The sequence below is a fragment of the Homo sapiens genome, chromosome 17, assembly GCF_000001405.40.
Source record: "Homo sapiens chromosome 17, GRCh38.p14 Primary Assembly".
Lineage (NCBI taxonomy): Eukaryota > Metazoa > Chordata > Mammalia > Primates > Hominidae > Homo > Homo sapiens.
The window spans coordinates 30,134,178-30,156,849 of NC_000017.11; the positions used below are offsets into that span (position 1 = coordinate 30,134,178).

General features: G+C 39.8%; 1 protein-coding gene across 7 annotated transcripts in view, besides 1 other annotated feature; it reads left to right on the top strand.

The window, feature by feature from the left end:
* The window catches only part of NSRP1 (nuclear speckle splicing regulatory protein 1), a 69,660-nt gene that overhangs the window by 17,362 nt on the left and 29,626 nt on the right, over positions 1-22,672 (top strand). The window contains exon 1 of one of the 7 annotated variants that reach the window (XM_047436920.1): positions 22,461-22,485. The exons of the other annotated variants lie outside the window; for them this stretch is intronic. The gene's annotated coding sequence lies outside the window, so the exon portion shown is untranslated. Of the gene's footprint in view, positions 1-22,460; positions 22,486-22,672 lie in introns of those variants that run through there. 7 annotated transcript variants of the gene reach the window in all.
* Positions 7,220-7,721: an enhancer, noted in NCBI's record as "H3K4me1 hESC enhancer chr17:28468415-28468916 (GRCh37/hg19 assembly coordinates)". NCBI's record gives its function as "activates a minimal SCP1, AML or CMV promoter by ChIP-STARR-seq in naive H9 embryonic stem cells {active_cell/tissue: H9 hESC(naive)}" and the evidence as "EXISTENCE:reporter gene assay evidence [ECO:0000049][PMID:30033119]".

The window sequence follows — 22,672 nt, forward strand, 5'->3', positions numbered from 1 at the left end:
CAGTCAGAAAACACACAACATGTATCAGTTAAGTTACCCATTTTATCTGGGCATGGTACATGGCTTCCCCAAACAGATACGTTAATAACACCAAAGATTGTTGATTACAGATCATTGTAACATGTAATAATGAAAAAGTTTGAAATATTGTGAGAATTACCAAAATGTGACACACTGACATGAAGTGAACACATGCTGTTGGAAAAATGGCACTGATAGACTTACTCAATGCTGGGTTGCCACACATCTTCAATTTGTAGTAAAACATCCGTGAAGCACAATAAAACAAGGAATACCTATAATGGTACGGTCATTGTAATTTTCCTTTTTGTTGTTGTCTTAGGATAGAGATAATCTGTGCAGGTTTCAGCTGAAAGAGAAGCAGCTAAGGAAAAATGAGAGATTTTACAGCTAAGGAAACTAGGGTGTCAAGAAGTTAACTGGTCAATAGCACACACAGGGTACTTAGATAATAGAGCTAAATTTTGAATTCAGGTCTGCCTGATTCAAGTCCATGCTTTTAAACAATGTAATGTACTCCCTCTGAGAGTTAGTTTGTTCATAATGGAATTTCCAGAGTTTCAGAGAATGGATTTCAGAAACAATAGAAAAAGGGTTAGTAGGGGACTGGCAAAGATCAGGTTGACTTCAAAGGGTCAATCTTGTTTATTATTTGGAAAGGGAACACAAATAGAAGTTGTGTTCAAATGTGCTTTTTATCATGTGAAATTACACAACTTTGCCTTCCAGTGACCTAGGAATATTTTGAGGAGATTAGGCTATATTTAATTTTCAACAAAATTGACATCCCATTGTCCGGATATATATATATATTTTTTGAACAGTCTATCCCAAGGGTTTTCAATGGGTATGCTGCTACTTCAAGAGGAAATTCAGAAATTTGTGGAGTGGCTTTTACTTATCATAATTGTTTTATTTCTTTCTTTCTTTCTTTATTTGAGACAGGGTCTTACTCTCTCTCCCAGGCTGGAGTGAAGTGGTGCAGTGACAGCTCACTGCAACCTCTGCGTCCAGGACTCAAGCGATCCTCCCGTTTCAGCCTGCTGATTAGCTGGGACTACAGGCACGTGCCACCATGCCCAGCTAATTTTTGTATTTTTTTTTTGTAGAGACAGGATTTCACCATGTTGGCCCAGGCTGGTCTTGAACTCCTGGGGCTCAAGTGATCTGCCCACTTCGGCCTCCCAAAGTGCTGGAACTGTAGGTGTGAGCCACCATGCCTGGCGCTTATCAGAGTTAACTTAGGTAGGGTGTTGTTGGCACCAGTTTTTTGTTTTGTTTTGTTTTGTTTTTCAGACGGAGTCTTACTCTGTCACCCAGGCTGGAGTGCAGTGGCGCGATCTCGGCTCACTGCAAGCTTCACCTCCCGGGTTCACGCCATTCTCCTGCCTCAGCCTCCGGAGTAGCTGGGACTACAGGCGCCCGCCACCACGCCCAGCTAATTTTTTTGTATTTTTAGTAGAGACGGGGTTTCACCATGTTAGCCAGGATGGTCTCGATCTCCTGACCTAGTGACCCGCCTCGGCCTCCCAAAGTGCTGGGATTACAGGCGTGAGCCACCATGCCCGGTGTTGGCACCAGTTTTTGATGAGGACCGGGGTGGTAGATACTGTGCATCTCATGCCCCCATTCATATAGGTGAAATCCCTCTAAACATGCATATAGATGAAAAACTGCTTATTTTATTTTATTTCATTTTTTTGATCATGGCCCACTGTAGCCTTGATGTCCCAGGCTCAAGTGGTGGCTCATGCCTGTAATCCCAGCACTTTGGTAGGCCAAGGCGGGTGGATCACCTGAGGTCAGGAGTTTGAGACCATCCTGGCCAACATGGTGAAACCACGTCTCTACTAAAAATACAAAAATTAGCTGGGTGTGGTGGTGCACATCTGTAGTCCCAGCTACTCGGGAGGCTGAGGCAGGAGAATTGCTTGAAACTGGGAGGCAGAGCAAGACCCTGTCTCAAAATTAAAAACAAAAAACAAAAAGAGTATTGGGTATGATACAATTGAGAACTACCAGTCTGGGCTTTCCCCACTGACATAAAATGGCTCATTTATTATATATTAAATTTCCATAAATATGTAGATTTGTTTTTTTGGACTATTCTGTTTCATTGATTTTTTTTCTTTAATCCTGGTTCAATACCATATTATTTCAATTACTCTAGCATTATAATCTCTTTTAATATATGATAGGACAAAGAATAAGAAAAGCTAAAGTTTATTGAGTACTTTGTTTATGTTAGATATGGCTTTACGTGTTTGATATGAATTATCTCATGTAATCATGTTAATTGGTTTACCATATTTTATCAAATCTAAGCTGCTTTGATATTGATGCTTTCTTGGTGTTACCAGAAAGTGTCAATGAAAACTTTTCATACAGAACATCATTATTGCTTCCTGGGTGACAGCATTTTTTTAATAAGTCATTGATTTCTGAGAGATTAAAATATGAAGAATCTGTGTTTTAGAATCAGAGAAATAAGATGTCATTATTCTCATTTTATAGTTGAGGAAACAGGCAGAAAGTTTAAATAACTTGCCTGAGATTACACAGCTAATTGACTTAATATCCCATATGATTGATTGGGATCTTTTAAAGTTATTACATTTTCTAAGCATTTATTGCTGATACACAGCAGTAGTAATTATACACACACACATTTGTACATACATCATATTTTATGTATATATCTAAGGATTTTTTTTGTATGTGGATATAGTATCTGAGCACCTTGCTAAACTCTTCTATTACTTGTAATAATAGGTTAAAATTCTCTGGATTTTCTGAGTAGGTAATCATAGTACCTGAAAATGATTTTAATACTAATTTTTTTTCTGGTCTAATTGCATTGAGTAGAACCTCAAGAGTATTGTTGAAATATAGTGGTAATAGCAGGCATCCTTTTCTTGTTTCTGACCTTATGAAGATATTTCTAATGTTTCATCATTAAGTATGCTATTCATGCTAGGTTCATGGTAAATATCCTTTTTCAAATTAAGGGAGTTTCTCCGTATTGTAGATTTGTCATTCACAAATCATCTTATTTACAACTATTCGGCAATCCTCTCTACTGAGTTTATCTCTATAATAGAGTCCTTCTACCAGGTGCACCTCCCTGTGAGAGAGTATACTTCCTACCTTCTTGATATCAGGCTTAGCCATGAGGCTTGCTTTAGCCAGTGGAAGTGATGTATGCTGTATCTGAGCAAAACTTCAGGAGTCATTGCTTGATTAAGTCATTGCTTTTCTCCCCTCTGCCATATGAACAATATGTTGCATATAGGTACTGTGCCTTCAGCTTCAGTCCTAGAATGAAGACAGTGAGGAGCCACAGCCGTCCACAATGGACATGTAGCATGAGCGAGAAATAAACCTTTGTATTGTAAGCCTTGAGACTTTGGTGATGTTTGTTAACACAGGATCAATTCTCAAAATTAACCAATAACTTTAGTTGCTAAACATTTTAATTAGGGATTGAATTTTGTCAGCTCTTTTTTCAGCATCTGTTACTATTGTGAATTACATTGATAGATTTTTTTCAAAAGTGAAACCACTCTTTAAAATACTAGGATAAACTGTACTTAGTCTTGGTGTATTATTCTTTAAATGTGCAACTGAATTTTATTTGCTGTTTTTTAAATTGTAAAATATGCATAACATAAAATTTACCATTTAAGCATTAAGTGTGTAGTTCAGTAGCATTAAATGCATTTACACTGTTGTTCAACTATTACCATGGTCTATTTTGAGAACTTTTTTATCTTCCCAAACTGAAAGTGTATACTCATTATATAATAACTCCCCTTCCCCCAGTGCCCTGCCCAGCCCTTAGCAACCACCATTCTACTTTGTGTCTATAAATTTGACCATTCCAGATACCTCATATACGTGGAATCATATAGTATTTGTCTTTTTGTGACGGGGTTATTTCACTTAGCATAATGTCCTCAGGGTTCATCCATGGTATAGCATGTGTCAGAATTTTCTTCTCCATTGTATATGTGTATCACATTTTGTTTAATCTGTTCATCCATGCCTGGACCTTTTGGCTGTTGTGAATAATGCTGCTATGAACATGGCTGTATAAGTAACCATTTCATTTCCTGCCTTCAGTTCTTTTGAGTGTACAATTGTCCCTTGGTGTCCTTGGGGGACTGGTTTGAGGTCCTTCCTCCCACAGATATGAAAATCTGTGAATGCCCAAGTCCCTGATATAAAATGGCATAGTATTTGCACATAACCTATGCACGTTCTCCCATATACTTTCAATCATTTCTGGATTACTTGTAATACCTAATACAATGTAAATACTATGTAAATAGTTATACTCTATTGTTTAGGGAATAATAACAAGGAAAAAAGCCTATACATCTTCAGTACAGGCAGTTTTTTTTTCCAAATATTTTCAAACCATGGTTGGTTGGATCCACATAGATGGAACCCACAGATACAGAGGGCCAACTGTATACTTTGGGGGGTGGAGGGGGAATTGTTGGATCATATAGTAATTCTGTGTTTAAGTTTTTGAGGACTGTTTCAGTCTTGAGGAACCACCACAGTGGCTGTATCATTTTACATTCCTACCAGCAATACACAAAAGTTCCAATTTCTCTACATCCCTAAGTCACAGCACTGGGTATTGACTGTTTTATTTGATAATAGCTATCCTAAGGGGTATGAAGTGGTATCTCAAGTCTTAGCGTTTTTTTTTTTTTTTTTTTTTTTTTTGAGATGGAGTCTCGCTTTGTCGCCCAGGCTGGAGTGCAGTGGCCCGATCTTGGCTCACTGCAAGCTCCGCCTCCCGGGTTCACACCATTCTCCTGCCTCAGCCTCCCGAGTAGCTGGGACTATAGGCGCCTGCTACCATGCCTAGCTAATATTTTGTATTTTTAGTAGAGACGGGGTTTCACTGTGTTAGCCAGGATGGTCTCAATCTCCTGACCTCCTGATCCAACCGCCTCAGCCTCCCAAAGTGCTGGGATTACAGGCGTGAGCCACCGCACCCAGCTATCTTTGCCCATTTTTTAATCCGGGTTTTTGTTTTTGTTGAGTTGTAGGAGTTCTTTTTTCAGTCCGTTATCCAGATATATGATATGCATATATTTTCTCCTTTTGGTGGGTTGCCTTTTCACTCTGCTGAAAGGGTCCTTTCCTGTACAAGTTTTTAATTATGCTGATCCAGTTTATCAATTTTTTTGTTGCCTCTGCTTTTGGTGTCATATCTAAGAAATCATTACCAGATCCAGTTTCATTAAGTTTTCTGTTTTCTTTCAAGAGTTTTATAGTTTTAGCCCTTATGTTTAGGTCTTTAATCCATTTTGACACAAAATTTTTGTGTACAGTGTGTTTGCTATTAAGTCGCATTGGCCTGTAGTTTTCTTGTGCTGTTCTAATCTGGTGTTGATTTTGCTCTCCCTCTTTTTTTTTTCCTCTAAAACAATGGCTCTACAGGTGTGAAATGGGGGTAGTCCTTGGGAGTTACTTAGGATCTGCAAAAACAAAACTTTTTCACAGGAATACTGAGACACTATTTGAGGCCGGGCATGGTGGCTCACGCCTGTAATCCCAGCACTTTGGGAGGCTGAGGCGGGCGGATCATGAGGTCAGGAGATCGAGACCATCCTGGCTAACACAGTGAAACCCTGTCTCTACTAAAAATACAAAAAATTAGCTGGGCGTGGTGGCAGCCACCTGTAGTCCCAGCTACTGGGGAGGCTAAGGCAGGAGAATGGGGTGAACCCGGGAGGCGGAGCTTGCAGTGAACCGAGATCGCACCACTGCACTCCAGCCTGGGTGACAGAGTGAGACTCCGTCTCAAAAAAAAAGACATTATTTGCTTTTTACTCTCATAGTCTCACAAGTATTTGGTGTTTTCCAGAGGCTGCTTACATGTAATATTATAATTGAACATAGAGCACATACGAGAATCCAGCAATCATTTGTTAACAGATTTGCAAAAATACAAAATACTTCCACTTTTCTAATTTTTTTGAAACTAGTTATTTTTCACAAGTTTTGTAACCTTTGATAAGAATGTCGTTAGCATGAAATGGGTTATTTTATAGTGAATTAATAACTTAAAATTTTCTCTTGTAATTTCCACTGTGGTAAATATTGACAGCTAAACCCATGCATGTAAACAAAAGCTGTTTGGGTACTCAATAATTTTAAAGAGTATAAAAGAGACCAAAATATTTGTGAACCTCTGTTTTAGGACAGTTAACAGAAATTTTGTTAAAATGAAAGGTAATATATTTGGAATTGGTCCTTCACTATTTCAGTTTCTGATTTTTTTTAATTGTTCAGATTTTACTTTTTTTTTTTTTTTTTTTTTTTTTTGAGATGGAGTCTTGCTGTGTGGCCCAGGTTGGAGTGCAGTGGCGTGATCTCGGCTCACTGCAACCCTTGCCTCTCAGGCTCAAGCGATTCTCCTGCCTCAGCTTCCCTGAGTAGCTGGGATTACAGGTGCACACCACCATGCCCAGCTAATTATTGTATTTTTAGTAGAGACAGGGTTTCACCATGTTGGTCAGGCTGGTCTCGAACTCCTGACCTCGTGATCCGCACTCCTTGGCCGCCCAAAGTGGTGGGATTACAGGTGTGAGCCACCGCATCCGGCCCCAGATTTTACTTTTTCAGCTAATTTTGGTTATTTACATTTATTTAGAGACAGGGTCTCACTGTGTAGCCAGGACCTCCTGGGCTCAGGTAATCCTCCCACCTCAACCTCCTAAGTAGCTGGGATTACAGCATGTGACACCACATCTGGCTAATTTAAAAGAAAAAATTGTTTTGTAGAGATGAGGTCTTGCTGTGTTGTCCAGGCTGGTCTTAAACACCTGGGCTCAAGCAGTTCTCCTGCTTTGACTTCCCAAAGGGATTATAAGCATCAGCCACCACACCTGGCTAGAATCAGCTTTTTGATTATTCATTGTCCGCTGTCTTTTAGTTTTCTATTTTATTACTTTTTTCTTTTATCTTTATTATCTCCATATAATCTTCCTTTGATATTAGTTTGTTGTCTTTTACAATTAATTTTTTTCTAAGAAATTTATTAATAGCTGTAAATTCTTCTTCAGTGCTGCATTGAGTGCATGCCACAGGCTTTTATTTAGTGACCACATTGTGTATTTTTTAGACATAATTTGTAATTTTTGTTTTGATTCTGTTTTTAATATAAAACGTTTAGAATTAGGCTTTTAATTTTCAAATATTTGGCCTTTTTCCTCCACTTTTTGCTGTTAATCCTAATTCATTTTGTCTATAAACATGTCCATGGCCCATGTGACTTCTGTTTTTTTGTAGTTTTTTTACATTTTCTTAGTATCTTAATAAATGGTCACATTTTGTGACAATTCATGTATGTTTGAAATGAATGTTTTCCCTGTTTTCTTTAAAGTACTATATACCTTTACATACATATGTACGTTTGAATATGTATTTGTGCTTTGTTAATTGGCACAAACAAATTGGTTATCGTGACAATTTTTAAAACTTTAAAAATGTGAATATCGGCTGGGCGCAGTGGCTCATGCTGGTAATCCCAGCACTGTGGGAGGCCAAAGTGGGCGGATTGATTGAGCTCAGGAGTTCAAGACCAGCCCGGGCAATGTGGTGAAACCTCGTCTCTACTAAAAATACAAAGAATTAGCTGGGCATGGTGGCCCGCACTTGTAGTCCCAGCTACTTGGAAAACTGAGGTGGGAGGATCGCTTGAGCCCAGGAGGTGGAGGTTGCAGTGAGCTGAGATCACGCCAGTGCACTCCAGCCTGGGCAACAGAGTGAGACTGTCTCAAAAAATTTTTTTAAATGTGAATATCTTTAGGTGGGGCATGCTCTCTTTGATTAGCTGTAGTTTCTTCCACTCCCTACTGTATTACAAGAGGCTGTGTATCTCTACCTTGCAAACAATTTGTGTATCTCGTCCAACCTTAATTCTTTTATTCACATCTATATCCTTTCTCACTGGTCTACATGATTTTTATAAGTGTGGTGTGGTAGTTTTCCACTATGGTTATAGTATTTTAAATATCTCTTTTGAAATAAGGTTTTTTTAAATGTATTTCAAAACTATGTTAAATATGTAAAGACTCATTACTTTTTTAAAAATGTATTTTATTTTTTTAGAGACGGGGCAGGGGTGGGTTTTGCTTTGTTGCCTAGGCAGGAGTGCAGTGGCTCTATCATAGCTCACTGCAGCCTCGAACTCCTGGGCTCAAGTAATCCTCCCATCTCAGTCTCCAGAGTAGTTGGGAATATAGGCATGTGCCACCACGCCTGGCTAATTAAAAAAAAAAAAAAAGTCGTAGAAATGAAGTCTTGCTATGTTGCCCAGGCTGGTTTGGAACTCCTGGCCTCAAACGATCCTCCCACCTCAGTCTCCCAAAGTGCTGGGACCTCACCCGACCTAAGTATTAGAAATAGTGTATCTTAAGTGTTTAGTCCAGTGCATAACACAGAAGTGCAATAAGTGGTAGCTATATTGCTGCAATAATAATTATATCTGTGCAGTAATTACTATTCATCATTAGTGGTCTGAAAGTTTCCTGTGTTGTCTCCATCCGACTTTGTTTTTGACTGTCGTATTTGATATCCTGGCTTTTTTGTGACCTTTTAATAGAATCATGATTGCAAATTTGGGTTTGTGGCCATTCACTACGTACCATTATATTAGAAAAATTCCATAAATAAGGCAGTTATGTCCATAATTACATTTTTGAGTTATTGTTTTATTTGGTTTGTGTACAATCTCATTGCACTCTTTTTACTCAACCTGTTTGACAATTTCTAATTGGAAGATAATGTAAGCTTTACTTCCAAATTTATGAAGTTAAATAACAAAATTAGCTTTCTGTTTCTCCAAAATCATACACATCTGCTTCCATATACTGACAGGCTTTGATATTACCCATTCCAACTTTACCATAAAAGTCATTAAAAAGAAGTTTTTCCTTTATTTTCATGTTGTGTTTCAGTGTATGTTGTCAGACAGAAAGCAATAATCCCTCATCTCACTCCTGAATTTATCAAAAGCTGGAAATAAAATAGATCAAATCACTTTCTGAAACAAAATTACTTTATTAGTTTAGTAATAATTTGAGGTTACTTTAAAGATAAGAAGCAGCATTTGGAAGGAGATTCATTTCCTGCCTTTGGGCTTTATCTGCAAGAAGTACATCTTTAGTGTCAAGAGATTGTGTATTTATAACTGAACTCTAATAAAATCTGTACTGGGGACCCTGCACACCTGACTTGGTCATTGTGGTTATATATTAGGTGCCAAACTATTGCTTGTCTCTTGAAAAAAAAATACATTGCCAAGTGTTTTTCATTAAAATTTGCCCTGTGTAGAAAAGGTTATAAGACCTTTGACTGTTCATTATAAGTGTGCTAGTTGTTACCAACATAGTTAATGATGTTCCTTTTGAAAATAAGTTTGTGTTTCTAACTGAAACAAACTTACGGAGTTTTTCTTTTATTGGTTAATTAAGCAATAATTGGAAAACATGTCATTAATTCTAGTATATATGTTTTCACTAAAGCTTATTAAATATTTGCATTTCCGATAGCACAGTAGGGTGACTAGTCAATAATAATTTGTATATTTTAAAATAAAGAATGTAATTGAATTGTTTGCAACTAAGTATAAAAGCTTGAGGGGATGGATAACCCATTCTCCATGATGTGCTTATTTCACATGGCATGCCTGTATCAAAACATCTCATGTACCCCATAAATGTATACATGTACCATGTACCCACAAACATTTTAAAAATAATTTTTTAAAAATTATAAATATTTTTCTACCACTATTTTTGGCTAACGTTACAGAATATTGAAAACTGTATTCTGATTTTTTTTCCCTTTAATCAGTATTTTAGACTATATGCGAGTGTCAGGGAACTATACCGTTTTCCTTATGAGCAATCTAAAATTACCCTCCTATTCACAACCCGTTTATGCTTCTCCCACCTTTTGCTGTGGTTTTTGTTTTTTGTTTTTTAATCTCAGAGAAATTGTCACGCAAGGCATGTAAGATTATTATTATTATTATTATTATTATTTTTTTTTGAAGCAGAGTCTCACTCTATTGCTTAGGCTGGAGTGGAGTGGCACAATCTTGGCCCTCTGCAACCTCTGCCTCCCAGGTTCAAGAGATTCTCCTGCCTCAGCCTCCTGAGTAGCTGGGATTACAGGCATGCACTATCATGCCCAGCTAATTTTTGTATTTTTAGTAGAGACATGGTTTCTCCATGTTGGTCAGGCTGGTCTCAAACTCCTGACCTCAGGTGATCTGCCCACCTCGGCCTCCCAAAGTGCTGAGATTACAGGAGTGAGGCCACTGTGCCCGGCAACATAAGATTATTTTCGAACTGCATCCTTCATGACATTTATATGTGTATTTGCAACTGTATGTGTATGTATATGTATAGACACACACATCCCTATGTCTATATAGATATATCTGTCTTTCTGGAAGTACGACATCTCTTTTACAAAGGAAAGAACTGTTATGCCTATGCATACAATACACTTCTTTTTTGAAACATGTTCGGAGAATTGTTAGTCATGCTCCTCATTTCAAGGCGCACACTCCTATCATCAGCCTAGCCTGCACAAAGCTCTTTTCTTCTTTATTAATTTTCCTCTTCTGATCCCCTCTCATTCCCCTTTAAATATATATATGTGCTGCTTGGATATCCGTGTTTGATATATGTGCTGATGTGTTTGACATATGTGCTACCTGGATATCTGTGTATACTTTTAAATTATATTTTGTTTTGAGTACATATGATTTTGTAAACATAAATGTTACTGCATTATCTCATTTTTTTAGTCAACACTGTGTTACAGTATGTATACCTAGTTAATTGTTTTTAACTACAGCATATACGTCTACTGTATTTTATCTATCCCATTCCTTCTGAGATAAACACTTAAGTTACCTTCAGTTCCCTGCTACCACAGTGATATTATTTTAAAAAATTCTCATACATGTCCCAGTAGAAACCCTTGTGAAAGTTTTTATGGGGATATATATTCAGGGGTGGGATTTCTAGATCATAGGGTATGTATATAAATTATTGCACTAAGGCCGGGCGCAGTGGCTCACACCTCTCTAATCCCAGCACTTTGGGAGGCCAAGGTGGGCGGATCACGAGGTCAAGAGGTTGAGACCATTCTGGCCAACATGGTGAAACCCCATCTCTACTAAATATACAAAAATTAGCTGGACGTGGTGGCGTGCTCCTGTAGTCCCAGCTACTTGGGAGACTGAGGCAGGAGAATCGCTTGAATCCGGGAGGTGGAGGTTGCAGCGAGCCGAGATCACGCCACTGCACTCCATCCTGGCAACAGAGCGAGACTCCATCTCAAAAAAAATTATTTCACTAAGTACTGATAAATCACTTTCTGAAATGGCTTTATCAGTTTACATTTTCATTGGTGGCCACTGTTGTTTTTCTCATCAGCCGTTTATTTATTTACTTTTTTTTTTGGAGACAATTTTTACAGTACCATCCACAAATAGTGGATACATTTTTTCCTGATTTGTGGGTCATCTTCATTATGTTGTATTTCCGTATATCCGTGAATCTGCTGCTAAGCTTTCCTGTTTTATTTTTATATGTTGCTGTGCCAAAACATAGTTTGTTTTGTTTTAGACAAGGACCCACACTGTTCCTCAGGCTTGAGTGCAGAGGCATGACCATGGCTCACTGCAGCCTCGATGTACGGGGCTCAAGCAATTCCCCCACTTTTGTCTTCCGAGTAGCTAGGACTGCAGGTGCATGCCACCATGCCCAGCTAATTTTTGTATTTTTGTAAAGTTGGAGTTCTGCCGTGTTACTGATGCTGATCTCGAACTCCTAGCCTCAAGCAGTTCTCTTTCCTTGGCCTTTCAAAGTGCTGGGATTACATGTGTGAGCCACTGTGCTTGGCCAAAATATCGTTTTTTAAATTATTGTAGCTTAGTATATCTAGTTGAGTGAGCCCCCTACTCTACACTTCTTTTTCAAACTTGATCAAACTATTTGTGGACTTTTATTGTTATATAGATAAAGTTTGTGAAATTCCTTCAAAATTAAAACTCTTCTGAGATTTGTATTAGAACTGCCTTGGATTTATAAGTTATATTAGTCTTTAAGGAACTACATGTAAGTGTGGTATAGTTCTTCCTTCATTTAGACTTTTTAAATTTTAAATAGAAACAGGGTCTTGCTATCTTGCCCATGCTGGTCTCAAACTCCTGGGCTCAAGTAGTCCTCCCACATTGGCCTCCCAAAGTGTTGGGATTACAGGTGTGAGCCACCACACCCCTCCTAGACTTTATGAGGTAATTTTTTACCCCATTAATGTCCTGTGCCTTATCTGCAGTTTAATTTCTAGATACTTCCTACATTTTGTAGCTATTGTGAGTGGTACCATATTTTCAGGAATATATATATTTTTAAGAGTCTTGCTCTGTCCCCCAGGCTGGAGTACAGTGGCGCAATCTTGGCTCACTGCCACCTCTGCCTCCCGAGTAGCTGGGATTTAGAGGCGTGCAGCACCATGCCCAGCTAATTTTTGTATTTTTAGTAGAGATGGAGTTTTGCCCTGTTGGCCAGGCTGGCCTCAAGCAGTCTGCCCACCTGGGCCTCACAAGGTGTTGGGATTACAGGCGCAAGCCACCACACCTGAGCCTAATCAGATTTACTGTAATAGTTTGTTTAAACCATCTGCTTCATCTCTTCTAGTCCTTATACCTCTTTTTCCTGTTTTACTTTATTAGACAAGTTTTCAGTAGTATGTTGAAAAATGTCCTTAGTGGGCATTCTGACCTGTCTATCCTAAGTGATATCCTAAGCTTCTGAAGTTTTTCCATTAAGTTTGATTTTTGTTATTGGCTTTTGGTATATAGACTTTTTCTTTTTCTTTTCTTTTCTTTTTTTTTTTTTGAGACGGAATTTTGCTCTTATTGCCCAGGATGGAATGCAATGGTGCGATCTCGGCTCACTGCAGCCTCCACCTCCTGGGTTCAAGTGATTATGCTGCCTCAGCCTCCCAAGTAGCTGGGATTACAGGCCTCCGCCACCATGCCCCAGCTAATTTTTGTATTTTTAGTAGACACGGGGTTTCACCATGTTGGCTAGGCTGGTCTTGAACTCCTGACCTCAGGAGATCTGCCCACCTTGGCCTCCTAAAGTGCTGGGATTACAGGTGTGAGCCACTGCACTCGGCCAGACTTTTGTTTGTTTGGTTGGTTGGTTTTGTTTGTTTTGTTTTGTTTTGTTTGAGATGGAGTCTCGCTCTGTTGCCCAGGCTGGAGCGCAGTGGCCAATCTCGGCTCACTGCAAGCCCCGCCTCCCAGGTTCACGCCATTCTCCTGCCTCAGCCTCCTGAGTAGCTGGGACTACAGGCGCCCGCCACCACGCCCGGCTAATTTTTTATATTTTTAGTAGAGACGGGGTTTCACCATGTTAGCCATGATGGTCTCAATCTCCTGATGTCGTGATCTGCCCGCCTCAGCCTCCTAAAGTGCTGGGATTACAGGTGTGAGCCAGTGCGCCCAGCCCCGGCCAGACTTTTTTAAGTTAAGGAACTCTTCTATTCATCACTGACCAACTTTTTTTTTTTTTTTGAGACGGAGTTTCGCTCTTGTCCCCCTGGCTGGAGTGCAATGGCGCAACCTCAGCTCCCTGCAACCTCTGCTTCCCGGGTTCAAGCAATTCTCCTGTCCCAGCCTCCCGAGTAGCTGGGATTGCAGGCATGTGCTACCATGCCCAGCTAATTTTTTGTATTTTTGGTAGAGTTGGGGTTTCCCCATGTTGGCCAGGCTCATCTTGCGAACTCCTGACCTCAAGTAATCAGCCCGCCTCAGCCTCCCAAAGTGTTAGGATTACAGGCGTGAGTCACTGTGCCTAGCCTGACAATTTTTTATAAATCACAAATAGGTACTAAATGCCTTCCTGAATTTATTGAGCTAGTTAAGTCATTTTTCTCCTGTGGTTCATTAATATGGTTTATTAGATTGATACATTTTTAAATGTTAAACCATTCTTGAATTTCTGGCTTAAATCCTTTTGAGCAGGATGTATTATTTTTAATATGCTAGTAAACTCAATTCACTAAAACTTGATTTAGGGTTTTCAAACATCTATGTCTATAAGTGGGAAAGGCTTTGTTTATTGTCTAAAAATGTCTGTAGGATTTTAATTTATGGAGGTGACAAATGACATATTGAGACTAATGCCCTTTAAAAGAAGATTATTGTTATGTACATTTACTGACAGGAGAAGACATGCCATTTCATTCAGGGCTACATAGGGAAGAACCAGTTTGGATCAGGAAAAGCCTGGTTCAGAGTCTTTATTGTATTTTTCATGGGAAAGGAAGGGAAACAGTTTAGGATTGGCTAGTTTGAATCTTGTCAGTTGCCTCTGGGCTGTAGCGGTGATCACCAGTTTTTTTGTATCTGGCCCTGGGCAATGAAGGCAGAGGACTATTGCTTCCTGGCTTGTAGGGGCCAGAGGAGATGGTTCTAAGTTTGGGCTGTGGATTGGCTGATTTACAGTTTTTGGAATATGTATCTGTTCTGCCCAGGTTTTCAGATTTAATTGTTCACGATAGTGTTTTTTAAATCTTTCATCTACTGTTACTTGCATCTCTTTACTTTTCTTGATTAATCTTGCCAAAAGTTTGTCTATCTTATAAAATCTTTTGAAATAACTAGCCTTTGATTTTGTTCATCTATATTTTGTTGATTTATTCTCTAATTTCTGCCCATATGTTTATTGCTTCCCTGGGTTATTTTGTCAATCTTCCTAAGTTTCTTTTTGAGTACTATTTTAGCTGTATCTCACAAGTTTTGGCATGTAGTGTTTTCAGTGTTATACATTTATAAATATTTTGTAATTTCCTTTATGATTTGTTTAACCTGAAGACTTACAGGTATAGCTTTTAGTTTTGACATACAGGTTTGGTTTTCTCAAGGATATTTTTATTGCCGTTTCTATTCTTTTATTTAATTTTTACTTAAAAAAATAGAGATGGGGTCTTGCTGTGTTGTCCGGGCTTGTCTTGAACTCTTGGTCTCGAGTGATCCTCCAACCTTGGCCTCCCAGAGTGTTGGGATTACAGGTTTGAGCTACTGCACCTGGCTGCTGTTTTTATTCTTATGTTTTATTGTGTTATGACCAAAGAACATAAGATTATCTGATGTTTATTTTTATTCTTGATCTATTTGTTATCATAGAGGAGTAAGATTGCCATCTAAAATGGTTGCTGTCCTTATATTTCTGAGAGTTGATGCTTTTTATTTATTCATTTATTTAAACAACTTTATTGAGATAAAGTTCACATAGCAAAGCCAGGTGCAGTGGCCTGTAATCCCAGCCCTTTGGGAGGCTGAGGCAGGAGGATTGCTTGAGCCCAGGAGTTCAAGACTAGCGGGGGAAACATGGTGAGACCCTGTCTCTGCAAAAAATTTTAAAAATTAGTTAGGCATGCTTGTGGCACATGCCTGTGGTCCTAGCCACACAGGAGGCTGAGGCAGGAGCATCACTTGAGCCCAGGAGGTCAAGGCTGCAGTGAGCCATGGTCAAGCCACTATACTCCAGCCTGAGTGACAGAGCAAGACCCTGTCTCAAAAAAAAAAAAAAAAAAAATACCAAAAGCTCTGTGGTTTTTAGTATATTCACAGAATTGTGCAGCCATCATCACTATTTTAGAATTTCATCACCCAGAGAGAAACCTGATCATTAGCAGTCACTCCTAATTCTTCCCTCTACTCTGCCCTTGGCAATCACTAATTGACTTTATGTCTCTACAGATTTACCTATTTGGGACATTTCAAATAAATGGAATAATATAATGTAATACATGTTGTAGAGATCTTTTTTTTTCTTTTTTTAGATGAAGTCTTGCTCTGTCGCCCAGGCTGGAGAGCAGTGGCGCAATCTCGGCTTACTGCAACCTCTGCCTCCCGGGTTCAAGCAGTTCTCCTGTCTCAGCCTCCTGAGTAGCTGGGATTACAGGCAGGCACCACCATGCCTGGCTAATTTTTGTATTTTTAGTAGAGATGGGGTTTCACCATGTTGGTCAGGCTGGTCTTGAACTCCTGACCTTGTGATCTGCCTGCCTTGGCCTCCCAAAGTGCTGGGATTACAGGTGTGAGCCATCGCGCCTGACCAATATGTGGTGGTTTTTTTTTTGAGACGGAGTCTCGCTCTGTCACCCAGGCTGGAGTGCAGTGGCGCAATCTCGGCTCACTGCAAGCTCCACCTCCTGGGTTCACACCATTCTCCTGCCTCAGCCTCCCAAGTAGCTGGGACTATAGGCGTCCGCCATCACGCCCGGCTAATTATTTGTATTTTTAGTAGAGACGGGGTTTCACCGTGGTCTCGATCTCCTGACCTCGTGATCCACCCTCCTCGGCCTCCCAAAGTGCTGGGATTACAGGCATGAGCCACCGCGCCCAGCCGTTTTTTGTTGTTGGTTTTTTTTTTTTTTTTTTTTTTTTTTGGAATCTCGCTCTGTCACCCAGGCTGGAGTTCAATGGCGCGATCTCGGTTCACTGCAATCTCCGCCTTCTGGATTCAAGCGATTCTCCTGCCTCAGCCTCTGGAGTAGCTGGGATTATAGGTGCCCGCCACCATGCCCGGCTAATTTTTGTATTTTTAGTAGAGATGGGGTTTTGCTGTGTTGGCCATGCTGGTCTTGAACTCCTGACCTTAGGTGATCTGCTCACCTCGGCCTCCCAAAATGCTGGGATTACAGGTGTGAGCCACCACACTTGGCTGTTTCCACATCTTTATGAGCATTTGTGACTCTTTTATTTTAGTCATCCTGTTGGGTACGAAGTGGTATTTCAATGTGGTTTTGATTTGCATTTCCCCAGTGGCTAATGATGTTGAGCACCTTTTCATGTGCTTTTTGGCCATTTGTATATCTTCTTTGAAATAAATTTGTATTTCTTCTTTGAAAAAAGTGTTCAACTCCTTTGTCCATTTTTTAGTTTGTCTTTTTATTGTTGAATTGTAGGAATTCTTTATGGGCTGCAAGTTCCATAACAGATACATGATTGCAAATACAGTTGATTCTTGAACGATAGGGGGGTTAGAGCTACCAACACCCGTGCAGCTGAAAACTTTTGACTACCCCAAAACTTAACCACCAGTAGCCTATTGTTGACCAGAAGCCTCGTTGATAAACAGCTAACACACTTTTTATATGTATTATATACTGTATTCTTACAGTTAAGCTAGAGAAAAGAAAATGTTATTAGGAAAATCATAAGGAAGATATATAATAAAATATATTTCCTATTTATTAAGTAGAAGTGGATCATCATAAAGGTCTTCCTGTTCATCATCATCTTCACATTGAGCTAGCCGAGGAGAAGGAGGGATTGGTCTTACTGTTTCTGAGTGCCAGAGACAGAAGAGGTGGAGGAGGTGAAAGGTGAGGCAGGCACATTGGGTGTAACTTTTACTTAAAATCTACATATAGGTGTGCCCATGCAGTTCAAACTTGTATTGTTCAAGAGTCAGCTGTATTTTTTTCCCATTCTGTGGGTTGTCACTTTCTTTTTTTTTTTTTTTTTTTTTTTTTGAGACAGAGTTTTTCTTTTGTTACCTAGGCTGGAGTGCAGTGGCGCAATCTCAGCTCACCGCATCCTCCGCCTCCTAGGTTCAAGTGATTCTCCCAAGTAGCTGGGATTACAGGCATGCGCCACCACGCCCGGGTAATTTTGTATTTTTAGTAGATACAGGGTTTCTCCATGTTGGTCAGGCTGGTCTCAAACTCCTGACCTCAGGTGATCTACCTGCCTCGGTCTCCCAAATGGTGGGATTACAGGCGTGAGCCACCACACCTGGTGTGTTTGTCACTTTCTTGATGGCTTTTGAAGCAACAATTTATTTTGATGAGATTTGAAATAATTTTTTTTTTTTAAAACAGAGTCTGTCTCTGTTGCCCAGGCTGGAGTGCAGTGGCGCGATCTCGGCTCACGGCAACCTCTGCTTCCCGGGTTCAAGCGATTCTCCTGCCTCAGTCTCTCGAGTAGCTGGGACTACAGGCATGCACCACTGTGCCCAGCTAATTTTCTTTTTAGTAGAGACAGGGTTTCATTCTGTTCGCCAGGCTGGTCTTGAACTCCTGACCTCATGATCTGCCCGCCTCAGCCTCCCAAAGTGCTAGGATTACAGGCGTGAGCCACCGTGCCCAGCCTAAGAATTTTTTTTTTTTTTTTTTTGGTCATTTGGACTTTTGGTTTTAGCTACACAGATTTTGTCATGTGTCTAATTCAAGGTCACAAAGATTTACTTGTATTTTTTCTTCTGTGAGTTTTATAGCTAAATGTAAACGTTTAGATTAACTCCATTTGAGTTATTTTTTGCAAAGGGGGTAAGGTAAGGGCCCAACTTCATTCTTTTGCATATGTATATCTAGTTGTTCCAGCACCATTTATTGAATAGACTGTTCTTTCCCCTTTGAATTGTCTTGGTGTTGCTTTATTTACTTGGAAGATACATTGTTAAAAGCATAAATGTTTATGATTGCTATTTCTTCTTGATCTGTTCCTCAGTATCTGGTAACCTACTTTGTTCTTCACATACGTTTCTCTTTAATTCTATTTTTCTGATTTTATAATTACTATCAAGCTTTTGATTCATATTTGCCTTTTGTATTTTTTCCCACTCATTTATTTTCAGCTTTTTTTTTTTTTTTTTTTTTTTGAGACAGAGCCTTGCTCTGTTGCCCAGGCTGGAGTATAGTGGCATGATCTCAGCTCACTGCACTGCAACCTCTGTCTCCCAGGTTCAAGTGATTCTCATGCCTCACCTCTCCTCAGTAGCTGGGATTACAGGCGTGCACCACCACACCCTGCTAATTTTTGTATTTTTTTAGTAGAGACGGAGTTTTGCCGTGTTGGCCAGGCTGGTCTCAAACTCCTGGCATCAAGTAATCTGCCTGCCTCAGCTTCCCAAAGTGCTGGGATTACAGGCATAAGCCACCGTGCCCGGCCTATTTTCGGCATTTTTATATCCTGTTGTATTTAGGCTCTTTTTGTAGACCTCCTATTTCTAGATCTTTTAAAAATCCAATCCCAGAGTTTGTTGTCTTTTTTTCTCTCTCTCATTTAATAGGTTGAATTTTCTTTTCCTAGTTTGAAATGTACACATTTCATTGTGTTTCAGTTAAAATTTTGGTCATTATCCCAAACCAATCTATGCTTACATTTATACGTTTGGTTTCTTTTATTGTTGTTATAAGTATCTTTATATCACTCACTGCCTTCAACATAAATACCTTGGCACACTCTGGCTACCTTCTGGTTGTCTTCTCTCCCTCTCTTCCACCTGCTGCTTGCCTTGCCACTGTGTTTATATCATCCAGATGAGGTGTTGGCAAACTATGTCTCATGTTGGCATCCTTTTTTAAAATAAAGTTTTATTGGAACACAGCCTTGCCATTTGTCTGTCTGTGGCTACTTTTGTGCTACATGACTAGATGCAACAGGCCACATGGTCCACCAACCTGTGTATTCACCATTTGTCCCTTGAGGAAATTTGCTGACCCCTGCTCTGGATCTGTGCTAATATGATAGCCAGTTTAGTCTTAGAGGCTGTTTTAGCTTAAGTAAAATTTAAAAATTAGTTCCTTAGTCACATTAGCCACATTTAATGTGTTCTATAGCCACGTGTGACTGGTGGCTAACATATTGGACAACACAGGTAAAAGATATTTTAGTCATTTCAGAAAGTTGTATAGCCCTGCTCTAGATTTCGTCCTGGATTGTTATGGTTGTTTTTTGTCTTATTTTAAAAGATAATATTAGGGCCAGGTGTGGTGGCTATCACATGTGCTGTAATCTCAGCACTTTGGGAGGCCGAGGCAGGAGGATTGCTTAAACCCAGGAAGGAGTTCAAGACCAGCCTGGGTAACATACTGAGACCCCATCTCTACAAAAAATAAAAAAATAAGCCAGATGTGGTGGCAGGTGCCTGTGGTCCCAGCTACTCGGGAGGCTGAGGCGGGAGAATTGCTTGAGCCTGGGAGCTTGAGGCTGCAGTCAGTCGTGATTGTACCACTGCATTCCAGCCTGGGCAACACAGTGAGACCCTGTCTCAAAAAAAAAAAAGATATATTAAGTTTTACTAAGTTATATATTTACCTTTCATGTATCTCATAATATTATTATTGGGAGTACAGGTTGAGTATCCCTTTCTGAAATGCTTGGGGCCAGGTGTGGTGGCTGGCGCCTGTAATCCCAGCACTTTCTGAGGCTGAGGCGAGAGGATTGCTTCAGCCCTGGAGTTCAAGAACAGCTGGGCAACACAGTGATACCCTGTCTCTACAAAACACTAAAAAATTACCTGTGTGTAGTGGTACATACCCGTAGTCCCAGCTACTCAGAGGCCAAGGTAGGAGGATCGCTTGAGCCTGGGAAGTCAAGGCTCCTGTGAGCCATGATCGTGCCACTGAACTCCAGCCTGGGCAACAGAGTGAGACCCTGTCTCAAAAAAAAAAAAAGAAGAAAAGAAAAAGAAAGAAATGAATGCTTGGGACCAGAAGTGTTTCAGATTTCAGATTTTTTCAGATTTGGGAATATTTGTATTATACTTAACAGCTGAACATTCCTAATCCGAAAATCCAAAATGCTTCTTTGAGCATACTGTTGACACTGGAAAAGTTTTAGATTTGGGATTGTTGGATTAGGGATATTCAGCCTGTACTTCCTTTATTTTCAAAGAGGGCTTTTATGAGGCAGACCTGAGATTTTATGTGCTTAAAACATCTTTAGTTTTGATGATAGTTTTTCTGGATATATACTTTTTAGTTCAAAGTGCTTTCCATCAGCACTTTAAAGTTACTCCATCTGGGTAATGTTAATTAAGATTTACTACCTTTTTTTTTCTTTTTAATTTTTGTGAGTATGAAGTAAATGTATATATTTATGGAATATGTGAGATATTTTGGTACGGGCATGTGGTGCATAATATGGATTACTTGTTCTTAAATCCCAAGTTGCTGATGAGGTATTTGATGACATTCCGATTGTACCCCTTTATAGGTGACCTACTCTTCCTTGTTGGAAACTCTTAGAATTTTCTTTTTGTCTTTCATTTCCTTAAATTTCATTATAATGTATCTAGTTGTTGTATATGCAGGCGTGTGTGTTTTATTTATCCTCTGTCCTCTTTTGCATTCAAAACCTGTTCAATATGATATTTTTCTCCAATTCTAGAAAATTACCAGTCATTCAAATATTTCTTTGAATCTGTTTAGTTTATATGTCTTCCTCTGGGTCTTCTGTTACATAAATATCTTTCATATCACTATACCTTTTTTTGCTTTGTTTTTAAGAGATGGGGTCTCACTATATTGCCCAGGCTGAAATGCAGTGGCATTTCATGATCATAGTGCACTATGCCTCAAACTGCTGGGCTCAAGTGATCCTCTTGCCTCAGCCTCCTGGCTGTAGCTAGGACTACAGACGTACACCATCGTGTGGCTTTTTTCTTTTTTTAAGCATTTTACCCTTTCCATGTGTGTTCTAGGAGTTTCTAGCCTAATATTCTAACTTATTAAAACATTTTTTCAGCTATATCCATTCATTCATTTACCCATCTCTTAATTTTATTTTATTTATTTATTTATTTTTTGAGATGGAGTCTCAGTCTGTCACCCAGGCTGGAGTGCAGTGGCACGATCTTGGCTCACTGCACCCTCCACCTCCCAGGTTCAAGCAGTTCTCGTGCCTCAGCCTCCCTAGTAGCTGGGATTACAGGCACCTACCACCAAACCCGGCTAATTTTTATACTTTTAGTAGAGACAGGGTTTCACCATGTTGCCCAGGCTGGTCTCAAACTGCTAACCTCAAGCGATCTGCCCGCCTCGGCCTCCCAAAGTGCTGGGATTACAGGCGTGAGCCACCACGCCCGGCCCATCTCTTAATATTTTTATTTTGACTATATTTTCCATGTACATTATTTCAAATAGTTTCTGTTGACCTTGTCTATCAGGACACCTTGCAGTAAATCCATCAGGAAGTTGCTCTACTATCGGACATTAGAACTTACTCCTCTAACTGTATGTTCATACCTATTAGTACCCATTAACCAACCTCTCTTTATCTCTCCCCTCCCCCAAGTCCTTCCCAGCCTCTGTTCACTATCATTCTACTCTCTACCTCTATGAAATACATTTTTTTAGTTCATACATATGGGTGAGTACATGAGATAGTTGTCTTTCTGTGTCTGGCTTATGTTACTAAAGATAATGACCTTCAGTTTCATTCATGTTGCTGTAAGTGACATGATTCCATTCTTTCTTTTTTTTTTTGAGATGGGGTTTCACTCTTGTTGCCCAGGCTGGAGTGCAATGGTGCAATCTCGGCTCACCGCAACCTCCACCTCCTGGGTTCAAGCGATTTTCCTGCCTCAGCCTCCCAAATAGCTGCAATTACAGGTATGCACCACTATGCCCAGCTAATTTTATATTTTTAGTAGAGACGGGGTTTCTCCATGTTGATCAGGCTGGTCTCGAACTCCCGACCTCACGTGATCTGCCTGCCTCGGCCTCCCAAAGTGCTGAGATTACAGGTGTGAGCCACTGTGCCCCGCTGATTCCATTCTTTTTTATGGCCAAATGGTAC